Source organism: Homo sapiens, chromosome 8 (assembly GCF_000001405.40).
Source record: "Homo sapiens chromosome 8, GRCh38.p14 Primary Assembly".
In the NCBI taxonomy this organism is placed as follows: domain Eukaryota; kingdom Metazoa; phylum Chordata; class Mammalia; order Primates; family Hominidae; genus Homo; species Homo sapiens.
The window spans coordinates 5,851,036-5,863,172 of NC_000008.11; the positions used below are offsets into that span (position 1 = coordinate 5,851,036).

Here is a 12,137-nt window from a genome sequence, read left to right on the forward strand (position 1 = left end):
TTACCTCAGCCAGAATGGGTAAGGGTACTTTTTATTAAAAAGAAAAAAGTAGATATTAGCATGGATATAGTAAAAAAAAAAAAAAAAAAAAAAAAAACACTTATGCACTGTTGGTGGGAATGTAAATTAGTACAACTTCTATTGAAAACAGTATGGAGATTTCTCAAGTAAGAATAGATTTACCATTCAATCCAGAGATCCCACTGCTGGCTATCTACCCAAAGGAAAATAAGTCATTATATGGAAAAGAAACTTTTATGTGTATGTAAATTAGATATATGCTTGGTAATCCCTCTACTGCAGCACAGTTTACAACTTAAAAGATATGGAACCAACCTAAATTCCTATCAACCAATGAGTGAATAAAGAAAAGGTGGTATATATCCATATAAATATACTATGGAATACAACTAAGCCATAAGAAAAGAACAAAAGTGTCTTTTGCACAATTTGGATGGAGCTGGAGGCTTTTATTCTAAGTGAAGTAACTCAGGAATTGAAAACCAAACATTACATGTTCTCACTTACAGGTGGAAATTAAACTGTGGGTATGCTAAGGCATACAGAGTGGTATCATGGGCACTGGAGGCTCATGAAGGAGGCTGGGCAGGAGAAGGTGAGGGATGGAAAACTATTGAGTACAAGGTACGGTATTTAGGTGATAGGTGCACTAAAATCCCAGACTTCACGGCTACACAATTCATCCATGCAACCAAAAGCCACTTGTATCCCTAAAGCTATTGAAATAAAAATTAAAATAAAAAGAATTGAAGCTAACTCTCTTAGTAATTAGTAATGTTAATACCAATTATTCATGTGTAAATGTACATCGTAAAAGGCGAAAACATAAAAATATGTATTTATATTATTAAGAACTGCAACACAGTTACATTTCCATTTTTAACTGCAGGCTTGACTTTGCAATCCTCCTTTTGCCTACACACCAAGCAACCACTAATGTATTGAACTAAGTGCATTGCCTGAAGAAGGTTAGCTCTTCTCGCCCAGTGACAGAAATTAACACAAGTTTAGCAACAGTAAATGGTAGCCAATAAGAAAACCTGACCAACTGTGCTGAATTCTTGTCAGAGGGAATGCTAAGCATCCTTACCTCTTTAAGTTATATGTTGTATCAGTGCCTGCTTATTAATCCTCTGAAGTCACTTACCAGCTCACACATATCTTTCTTTCTTGAGAAAAACAGAAGTTAAATTGATCTGTATAAGACTGTCTATACCAGATATGGATGAAGGCTACCAGTTCAATAAAAGAATGGTTAGCTATGGGGCAGATGAAAACTTTGCACAGCCTATGTTCAACTCCCCTTCTAAAGTTGCCTCAAGGAGCCATTCGATCCACTTCAGCACACATATATACAGTACCTGCTGACTAAAGAGTACATTTTAATTTCAATGAACTGAGAAACAAATAAGAAAGTCGTAAATTTTGAACTAAATACAATACAGATGTTGGAATTGTAAAGTGCTGGGTCTGTCCCACAGACCGTGGCCGAGCGATGGATGAAAGGAGTAGGCAGACACAGGTACTTTCCCTGAGAGTGCGGCTAGGGGACTGCACGGCTTAGCACTGCTGACAAGAGTGCCACCCCAATAAGCCAGAGCTATTTGTATTTACTTAGTACAGATTTAATGGCAAAGGCCTGGAGCAAGCACAGTTTGTGGGTGATTAACACTGCTGACCCCCCGAATAGAGAGCAGTCCTCTGTGCAAATGATCAGAGGTTGGTTTCTGGAGACATAAGTGAACCAATTTATCTAGATAAGGATCTTTATATTCCCATGTTATTTACCATTTGCCTTCTGCTTCAGGGTAAGGGAATTAGCTGCCTTCAGCTTTTATTCTGTCCTGAAGCTGTGCTAAACATCCCAGCCTTCCAAGAAGGTTTGGGTCTTTCCCTATAATTTTTCCCACCATGCTGACTGATCTCTGACATCTCCCCATTTTCTTTTTGTTTGTGTCAGGTTTTGTTGATTGAAGAATACAGATGTGTGCAGCAAAAGGTTTGTCTGGTGTAGTGGTTGCTGCTTGTATTCTGGCTTTGCATCCTAGAATTAGTAAATAATGAGACAAACATGAGTATAATTCGTAACATTCTTTTCCAGTCAAGGAGTGATATGTAGTGTTGCTTGGCTCCTCAGTCCAATCTGTGCCATTACTAAGGAAACCCATGGCGGGTAGGTCAATCCCTCCTAGCCAAGCGGTTACGTTATTAGAGGCTGGGAAGGGAGTATCTGCACAGGTAACAGTGCAGAAGAAAGGCAGATTTAGAAGATGGGCTTAATAGAGTGTAGCAGGTACCAGTTGCAACCAGAGTGAGAAAATAAGAAAAGCCAATATCCTACAAGAGTTGCAATGTACAACAGAAAGCATAGCAAGGAACAAATTATCTGGAGTGAATGGTGTCTGTGTCCAGGGTAGGATTTGCTCAGCCTCCTGGGTTGTCATCTTCAGCATCCCCCAGGTAATGTCCAGGGCTCGTGTCATCCAAGGAAGTTGCATCATCCGGGGCTGCAGGTCCTGTAGGGTCATTCCCTTCATTTCTCCTACTGGGTTGGGTCCTAGCCACACCATGGTATGATTTGATGCATCGTGCTGGAATACAAAGAGGACTTGAGAGGGTGTGAACACAAGTATATCCTCTTCCCCATGTTAGCAAATCATCTGGACCACACCATACATTACTATTTACATCTTTCCATAAAACTGCAGGTTTTATGTTGTGAGGGCCTTTGGTAAAATGCACTTCTGTGGCTGATTGAAATTTATCATTCAAATTTTAAAACTTAAGGGTAAATAAGGCTTGTGCCAATAGTGTTTCAGGGTCCTTACTCATATTCCCCCTTTTTCGTTTTTTGAGTATATTGAGCCTATTAAGGGTGGAGTGGACACATACTATGGCCTGTCCTTGGGGTTTATAAGGGATACCTGTGGAATGTTGGATGTTCCACGTGTAATTGTTGAAATTGTGAGCTGGCACAAGCCAGACCATTATCAGTTTTAATTTTGGGGGCCATCCCATAAATGCAAAAGTTGAAAGAAGATGTTTAATGACATATTGGGTGGACTCTCCAGGCAAAGCATGCACACTAATTAGGTGGGAATTGGTTTCAATGGACATATGTACATATCTTAGTTCTCTAAATTCAGGGACGTATGTAACATCTGTTTGCCATAACTGATTAGGTTCTAGTCCTCTAGGGTTAACACCTGTTGAAGGAGGGACTGTGCCTGTGAGCTGGCAATCTGGGCATTGTAAAATAATTTGTTTAGCTAGTCTTTAGGTAAGATGAAATTGTTTGGATAAATTTCTACAATTTTGATGGAAAAATTGATGCAATTGGGTGGCTTGGCCAAGCAGTGACATCATAACCTGCAGGTATGCTTGATTATTCCCAGAAGCCAGTGGGCCAGGCAGTGAGCTGTAGGTTCGAATATGTGTGGTAAAGTTAGGATATGTACATTGATCAGCAATTGCTGAAGTCTGAAGAAAAAGTGCATATAGGTTGGGCTCCAGAGCAGACTCAATGAGGGCTGTCTCAAGGTTCTGCAATAAATAAACAGCATAAGCAGAGTCACTATCAATATTGATGGGCTGAAAAGAAAATGTTTCTAGGGCCAATATTAAGGCTCCAACCTCAGCTCTCTGAGTAAAGGTAAATCCAGAACGAGTGAGCATATTGAGCATATTAAGGGTGGAGTGGCCATGTTCTATGGCCTGTCCTTGGGGATTCCCACCAATAGCTGCTTTTCCATTTTTACTAGAGCCATCAGCAAAAAGCATTAAAGTGTTAGATATGGGAAAGTGAACTACCTTTGTAGGCATAACTACAGGAGTATGAGGTAAGAACTGAAGTAATTTGTCAGCAGGAAGGGCATGTTCTATATGGCCTGCATAATCAGATACTGCTATCTGCAGGTCCAGAGATAAGGACAAGACTGCTTGGAATTTTTTTTTACTCAAGGGATTTATGACATCAGGGTCATAACCTAGCAACGGATTGCATTGTCTGTGGCCTGTATAGATTACTTTACTAACTAGCCATATATGGATAGATAGTGTTTTAGTCCCAGTATGTGGGTAAAAAAATCCATTCTAGGAGGTGTACTAGCCCTGGGCCATCTGTCCTATTAATCCTGCTGGGGAATGTTTAGTAGGAAAAAAACAAACAATTCCACTAAATATTGTGGGTCTATGTGATTTAGTTGCCTCTAAGAAATAGCTTGATCTATTTCCTCATTTTCCCTTTTTGGTGCAGGCGTTAAATACTTGGGAGAGTCTAGGGCTGTATTGCCCTTTAGGATAGAAAACAGGTTTTGTAACTTATCAGTAGTTATGCCTAAGGTGGGGTGAAGCCAGTTAATATCACATACTAATTTTTGATAATCATTTAAGGTACATAAGTTGTTAGTATTTAATTTAATCTTCTGGGGTATAACTGACTGAGAAGCTATTATGTATCCATGATATTTACAAGGAGAACATTTGTACTTTTTCAGGTGCTATGATTAAACCTCTTAACGGTGTATTCCTTTTGACAGAGGTATATAAATTTAAAACTACTGGCTCTGTTGGGGCTGCTAGTAAAATATCCATAAAATGAATAATTTGCAATTAGGAAATTATTTTCTACTGGGAATCAAAGCTTGATTTACATGATGCTGACACGTGGTAGGACTCTTCAGCATCCCTTGAGAAAGTACTTTCCAATGAAATCAGTGAGTTGGCCTTTCATTATTGATAGCTGGTATTGTAAGCACAAATTTTTCTCTGTCCTGTTTTGCCAGGGAAATAGTATAAAAGCAGTCCTTTAAGTCAATAATGACTATAGGCCAATCTCAAGGAATCACCACGAGGGAAGGGAGCCCCTGTTGAAGGGGCCATATAAGTTGCAAATTTGCATTGATAGCCTGTAAGTTATGCAAAAGTCTCCATTTACCAGACTTTTTGGGAATGACGCAAACGGGCAAATTCCAAGGGCTGTTTGATGGTTCTATATGGGTAGCTTTTAATTGCTCCTCAACTAATTCATGGGCTCTTTGTAATTTCTTTCCCTTTAAAGGCTACTGTTCTACCTAAATTGGATTTTGAGAGATCCATGTCAGGGTTAGGGGAGGGATAATAATAGTGGCCATTATTAGAAAAGGGTTTGCTGTTCACATAGTTCACCAAATTCTGCCCTCCGGAAGAGGTATTGACTGACCTTTAAAGTTGTTTTAGCTAGCACTGACCAGTCCCATGGGGTCATATGTAAGTTGTCTGCTATGGTCTCAATTAATCCTTTTGTAAGTGGACTAGTGCCTCTGTTTTCTCTAATGCTTTTCCTTATCTCTTTATCAGCATCAGAAGAAATGGGTTCATATACCTGATTGCCTTGTCGATCTTGCATTACCAGGCAGGCGAAGAGCTCCCCTTCTAATGCTGCTTGCCTAAGACAGGGTTCCATAGCTATAGTGTATCCCTTGTCTTTCTTCCAATTTATTGTGGGAGGGGGCTTAGGCAAAACCTCCGTTTCCTCTTTGGTATTTTTGCCCTGTAACAGCAGGACTGAGGGAGGAGGAGGAGGAGGCAGTAAGGTAGGTGATGGTTCCTCCTGCCTTCCTTTTTGAGGTTCTTCTGTGTAGAGCAGGGCCAAAGCAGCCCTGACTAATGCACACAACTTTAAAAATGTTACTGGGACCTGAAGCCCTTGCATACGATGTTAAGATTTCTCCGCATTTGTTCCCAGAGCTCTAGGTCTATTGTCCCTTCTTCAAGGAACCATGGCTTAAGGGAAACAACAGTTTGCATTAGGTCCTTTAATTGAGCCTGTGAAACCAAAGCTCCAGTAGCTTTAAGTAGCTGTTCCAATACTTTTATATACTGTTTCTGTTGAGCTTATAACTGTTGTTCCATGATGAAACTCTAGCCTTAACAATTCCCTTGATCTTGGAAATCCTGAGCGGGTACCACTGACCTACTGACTGCACAGTCTCTTTACCTTTGTTTTCGGGGGTTCCGTCACAATCCATGGCAGCATTCCTCACACAGAGCACCACCTGCCAGGTCCGTCCCTCAGACCCTGACTGAGCAATGGATAAAAGGAGTAGGCAGACACAAGTATTTTGCCTGAGACCGCGGCTAGGGGACTGCATGGCTTAGCACCACCAACAAGAGTCCAGCCGCAATAAACCAGAGCTGTTTGTATTTATTGAGTACGGATTTAATGACAAAGGCCTAGAGCAAACACAGTTTGTGGGTGATTAACATTGTCGACCCCCGAGTACAGAGCACTCCTACATGTGAATGATCAAAGGTTGATTTCCAGAGACATAAGTAAACCAATTTATCTAGGTAAGTTTCTTTACATTCTCTTGTTATCTACCCTTTGCCCTGTGCCTCAGGGTAAGAGAATTCGCTGCCTTTAGCTTTTATTCTCTCCCAAAGCTTTGCAAAACCTCCCAGCCTTCCAAGAAGGTTTGTGTGTTTCCCTATAATTTTTCCCACCACCCTGACCAATCTCCTACAGCAAAGAGGGCAAGATAATTGCATCCTAGGGAGTCTGTGAAAGCTTCACAAAAGCAGCAGCATTGACCTGGAGAGAAATGGACTTATGAGGTTCCTAGACAAGAGTAACCTGCCCCTGACTTTGTGCTGCTCACCTGCCCACAGAAACTTAGCAATGTGCTGTTAGCTTGGAAATGTCCATTCGTCCATGTGGCCATCACACATAGGAGGGTGTGTGTGATGATTGTTGCAGGAGATGAGGCTGGAGAGGTAGTCTGTGACCTTGAATAGATTCTAAACAAACATTAGTTTTGTGTGTGTGTGCGCATATGTATAATAAATATTTTTTAAAGTTAAGTTTTATCTGGTTTCATGATTAGCATCTAAGTGCCTGTCATACTCTCCCACTTTAACCTTGGATTTCATCTGTGGAAAGAACACTATGATTGTTCCTTTCTCTTAGATTGACCTTTTGTGAAACCACACACATTATCTCTTCATTCTTTGAGGGCTCTTTCCTTCCCACCCATGCAGCCCTCTCTCAATCTTCTCCCCCTGCCCTAGGCCTTCTTGGAGCTTCTCTGTATCTAGCCTGACTGCCTCAGCAAGATCATATACCCACATTTTTAGGGTCTACTTCTCTTTTTCTTCCTCAGAATGTACCTATCTTATGTCTATTCCTCATAAAACTCTGTATTCTGAAAACTAATCATGAAACAAATTAATCAGACACGAAGATCTTCAATAATTTAATTTGTCCTGTCTCAATATTGGTCTCATTTTCTTTTCTTCTTCTCAGGATCCCAGAGCACTCTAGTCACCAAAGCTTTGGCAAGGATGTGGTTGAAATTGTAGGGCTACCTGGGTAAATAATAACAAATATGTTGTTATGCATCTTGCCTCACACCATCCTTCAACACTCATCACTAAAGCCGTTGTCTTTTCTATATGTAGAATGTTGCCCCAGCTATTCACCAAGGAAGATCACTACCAATACTATTATGATTTGGAATTATTTTTAGACATCCCATCTATTTTTGGTCTGGTGGTAGATTTCAATAAAATTAATCTTCTATATGAAACTGGGAATGTGTTATGTGCCATTTATTATTACAGTCAGGAACTCCAGACAGTGTGAATAGGTTGATTAACGACCAGAGTGGAACTCATGTCCTGGGCTCTCCTACTGACTTCATGTAGCAGAGACACATCATTCATCAGGAATGACCACACAGTCTGCCATATTTTATTTCTTAATTACATTTCAGCTTTTGCAAACTTAGATTGTAAGTCAAGAGAAATTTGAAATTATAAACTTTTAGAGCATATAAAAACTACTTTGATTTGTATACAGAATCCATCAGGCCATCTTCTGAATGAATAAAACACACTTAAAACTCCAGAGACCAAAGTACATATCTCTAGATTTTTCTGTGTCTTGAAAACATTAACAATCACAATGTAAAAATTATTTTACTTGTAATTAGGTCACTACTTTTCGATACTTGGATATGAAAGTCAATTAATTTGAATAATAATTTCAACAAAAAGCAGTATGAAACTCAAGTCATTGTATTGTAGGCACCATTATTAAGTTCTGAACTAATTCTCCTTGTAAATCTATTGAGTATGTGCATTATTTCAAATGTTAATTTTGGTTAACTATTGAATCAACTATTGCCTTTGGGGCTATATCTAAAGTTGGATGGATGGAGTTCAGTTACTTTAATTAAAAATATTCAATTAACTGAAACCCAGATGACTGTGAGTCCAGACAACATTGAATTTCTGAGTATTAATTACTAAGTAAATAAATATTAAATGCAGGATGATTGATTTTTCCCCTGGAAACCTGAAGTCAAATACAATTACTCTTTACATTTTCTTTTCAAGTACTTAGTTAAGAAAATACAAAACTTATAAAGAAACTCATTTAAGAATTAAAAGATAAACGAGCAATGGAAGAGGACACTGACTCTGTGTTCAAGTTTTGTTAAATTATAATGCAGTGTTTTCTTCTTAAAATACATTTGTATTCTATTTTAAAAAGATGAAGCAAGTTGGGTGCATATCAAATAGTAACCAACAAAAATAAAGAATATTAAGTGATATGAGAAAATCCTATTTTTGCATGCATTTCTATTATGTCAGAAATATATGATCATAGAAAAAAACTCCAACGAATGGAAAATATAAAAAAGGTCATGGTTTAGGTGATGCCATTCAGTTATAAAAATATTTTTAATAATTTTCAGACTCACTAGAATTTTGTGGTATTTCTGCATCTTCATAATCATGTTCAACCTTCACATCACAGAAACAGTTCACATGACTAAGACATCTGTAATTTCACATAAGCTTGTCTTAACTCTTTGTATGGGTTGGAGAAGTTTTCATACCACTGAGATGTAATATCTCATAACACTCATAAGCATAAAGTTATATAATTGATGCATGAATTTCTCCACCATTGAAACATTATTAAATATTAGAAAAATGTGTCCTTTACCTTTAAAATAAATTAACATACTGAAATACACATTACTTTGGGGTGCTAGTCTTGGTACAAATAGTACAATTTTTAAAAAGGATAGGAGTAGGGTGGTTTGAAGAGAATATCACGATTAAATATTTTTATGGCATGATTTGTAATGGCAAAAGTCACTCTAATATAGAAATAACAGAGGTGAATGATTTAATTTGCAAATTCTTCATTCTGAAAGGGAGAAAAATATATTTTTTGCAACCCTAAAAAGTTCAGATCTGGGACACCTCTGTGACAAAAGATGGATTAACAAGAGAAAAATAACATTTTTATTTTTAACATGTGCTATGCACATTACCTGGAAGAAGCCTCAGTTCAAAAATATCTCTTGAGATGGTGGCTTAGGGTCCTGGCTTCTATAGCAATCTAACAAAGAATAAATTCAGAAGTAGCAACACAAAAGAAAACACAGCTTCATGGTTTCCAAAAGGTAGACAAATAAAGGGAGAGTAGTACCGTTTTCTCCCAGATTCCCCTAGCTTTCAGGCGGAAAGTGGGGAAACAGGCCCCCGTGCTCCTTTTTCACGAGGAAATTTTTGGACTCCCATAGGAAAGAAAGGTCGTTCAGACAGCCCTTTCCTGTAACCACTGTTTCCTCTGTGTCTCTATCTTAATATGTCTTTCAAAGAGGCATATTGGGGGGTAAAATATTGTGGGTTTTTTCAAGTCATGCCATTCTCTGTCCCTAGATGTCCAGTAGTAATTCTTCCCCTATTTGTGAAAACCAAAAAATGCTTCTAGACCTCATCAGATGTCTGGTGTGTGTGTGAATCACCATGTCCCTCTTTCCTAGTTAAGACCTACAGCTTCAGATAACTGTATGTGTAAACACAATCAGACTGGAATTTCTGTGGCCCTGGATGGTCGTGTAACTTTTCAATTCGTTTCAACAAATCTCTTTCTTGAAGGCTTATTATTTTACCTGAGTGTTTTGTTTAAATCTTTAGGTCTCTAAAAGTAAGGACATTTCTTTTCAACTAAAAATGTGTTAGATACAAGGAACCAAATTGTATGTATTTTGAGATATCATGTGAAGAAAATTAGGAGGGTGTTTTTTTCTTGTACTGCTTTATTTTCAAATGTAATATTTCCTGTGAAATGTAATTACATTCTCCATATATTTTAGGTAGGTTACAGACCTTTGAAACTTGAAAAGTTTATCTCATAAAAATAATTCATCTCTTAAACTGTCCTCTTTTTATTCCTATGTACTTTTGCTAGGCTACATTAAGTGGGATTAGTATAATAACTTTTGAATGCAATAATTCAACTCACCATTTGGTATTAGGATCTAAGAATTTCTGTTGGTATACTATGGTAATGTAGACCATCAAATTTAATTTAAAAAGTGGTGCTCAGAAGAATTTTTATTTAGATTTAAAACTAGATCACAAAGCCTATGCTTTGTGCACATGGGAGAAATGAGACCTAGAATTAATCCCTCACCACAAATAAGTAAAACACAGCACAAAATGGAGGGAACCTCACAGGCTTGCTATGCCTGGGAATAATCTCTGAATTATTTTCAGATATATAACCTAACATGCCTGTGATCCCCGAGAGAAAGGAAAGAAAGAGGTGAATGTGGCCCTCCTCTAAGCTCTCTGCAAATAGGCAAGTTCAGTAACATGTTACAGAGAAAAGGAATCCAAATAAAGATTAGAACTGTTACTATGTTGAATAGAGAAGGTCCCAGTTCAGGGAGTTGAAAGTAACTTAATTTGCAGACTACAGAACCCGAGAAGGAAACCTCTCAGAAGCCTCCTAGCACATATGGAAATTACGTTTACATTTTACTATAATCTCTTAGGTGTGCAATAGCCTTATGTCTAAAAAGTGTATGTACTTTAATTGAAAAATGCTGATGATCGTCTGAGCCTTCAGAGAGCCATCATCTTTTGGATGGGGAAGGGTCTTGGCTAGATGTTGATAGCTGCTGACTGATCAGAGTAGGTGCGAAGGTTGGGGTGGCTTTGGCAATTTCTTAAAAGTAAGACAACAGTGAAGTTTGTGCATGAATTGACTCATGAAAAGATTCATGAAAGATTTCTGTGTAGCAAGTATTGCTCTTCGCTAGCATTTTTCCCACCTTAGAACTTCTTTCAACATTGGAGTCAACCCTTTCAAACTCTGATGCTGCTTTATCAACTAAGTTGATGTAATATTCCAAATTATCTGTTGTTATTTCAAATATGTTTACAATATCTTCGCCAGGAGTAGATTCCATCTCAAGAAATCACTTTCTTCGCTCATCCATAAGAAGCAACTCATTCATTCAAGTTTGATTATGACATTGCAGCAATTCATCGCATTTTCAGGCTCCTCTTCTGATTCTGCTTCTCTTATTTCCACCACCTCTGTAGTTATGTCCTCCACTGAAGTCTTGAACTCTTCAAAGTCATACATGAGGGTTGGAATCAACTTCTTCCAAACTTCTGTTAATGCTGATATTTTTATCTCCTCCCATGAGTCTCAAATGTCCTTAATGGCATCTAGGATGAGGAACCCTTTCCAAAAAGGTTTCAATGTACTTTGCCAAATTCCAGCAGAGGAATCATTATCTACAGCAGCTATAGCCTTATGAAATATATTTCTTAAATAATAAGACCTGCAACTCATACTTATTTCTTGATCCATGGGCTGCAAAATGGATTTGTGCAAGCGGGCATGCAAGTAACATTAATCTTCTTGTGCATTTCCGTCAGAGCTCTTGGGTGACCAGGTACATTGTCAATGAGAAATAATATTTTTTAAAAATATATTTGTTTTTACTGAACAGTAGGTGTCAATATTGGGCTTGAAATATTCATTAAACCATGCTGTAAACAGATGTGCTGTCATCCCAGCTTTCTTATTTATAGAGCACAGGCAGAGCAGATTTAGCATTATAGAATTAGATTTATCATTTTCTTCTTAAGGTCCCTGAGATTTTTGAAATGGTACATGAGTATTGACTTCAGCTTATAGTCACCAGCTGCATTTGCCCCTGAGAGAGTCAGCTTGCGCTTTGAGGCTAGGCATTTACTTCTCTTTCCCTATGGAAGTCCTAGATGGCATCCTCTTCCAACAGAAAGCTGTTTCATCTGTA

The 12,137-nt window shown here is 38.2% G+C and overlaps 2 long non-coding RNA genes across 4 annotated transcripts in view; both read right to left on the reverse strand.

Annotated features, from left to right (window-relative positions):
* Nucleotides 1–155: 155 nt before the first annotated feature.
* Nucleotides 156–5,881, reverse strand: LOC107986908 (uncharacterized). Of its 2 annotated transcripts, none has more exons than XR_005646960.1 (2): nt 5,384–5,881; nt 156–2,612 (listed from the first exon to the last, which is right to left on the reverse strand). It is a non-coding gene; the product is annotated as an uncharacterized LOC107986908 (long non-coding RNA). The 2 variants fall into 2 exon arrangements; XR_001745764.1 differs by lacking the exon at nt 5,384–5,881 and adding an exon at nt 3,832–4,690.
* A 1,359-nt stretch (nt 5,882–7,240) lies between these two features.
* LOC105377795 (uncharacterized) overlaps nt 7,241–12,137 on the reverse strand; it is a 145,951-nt gene continuing 141,054 nt past the window's right edge. For both annotated transcript variants that reach the window (XR_941375.2, XR_941374.2), the window contains one exon: nt 7,241–7,365. This is a non-coding gene — a long non-coding RNA (uncharacterized LOC105377795). The remainder of the gene's footprint in view (nt 7,366–12,137) is intronic.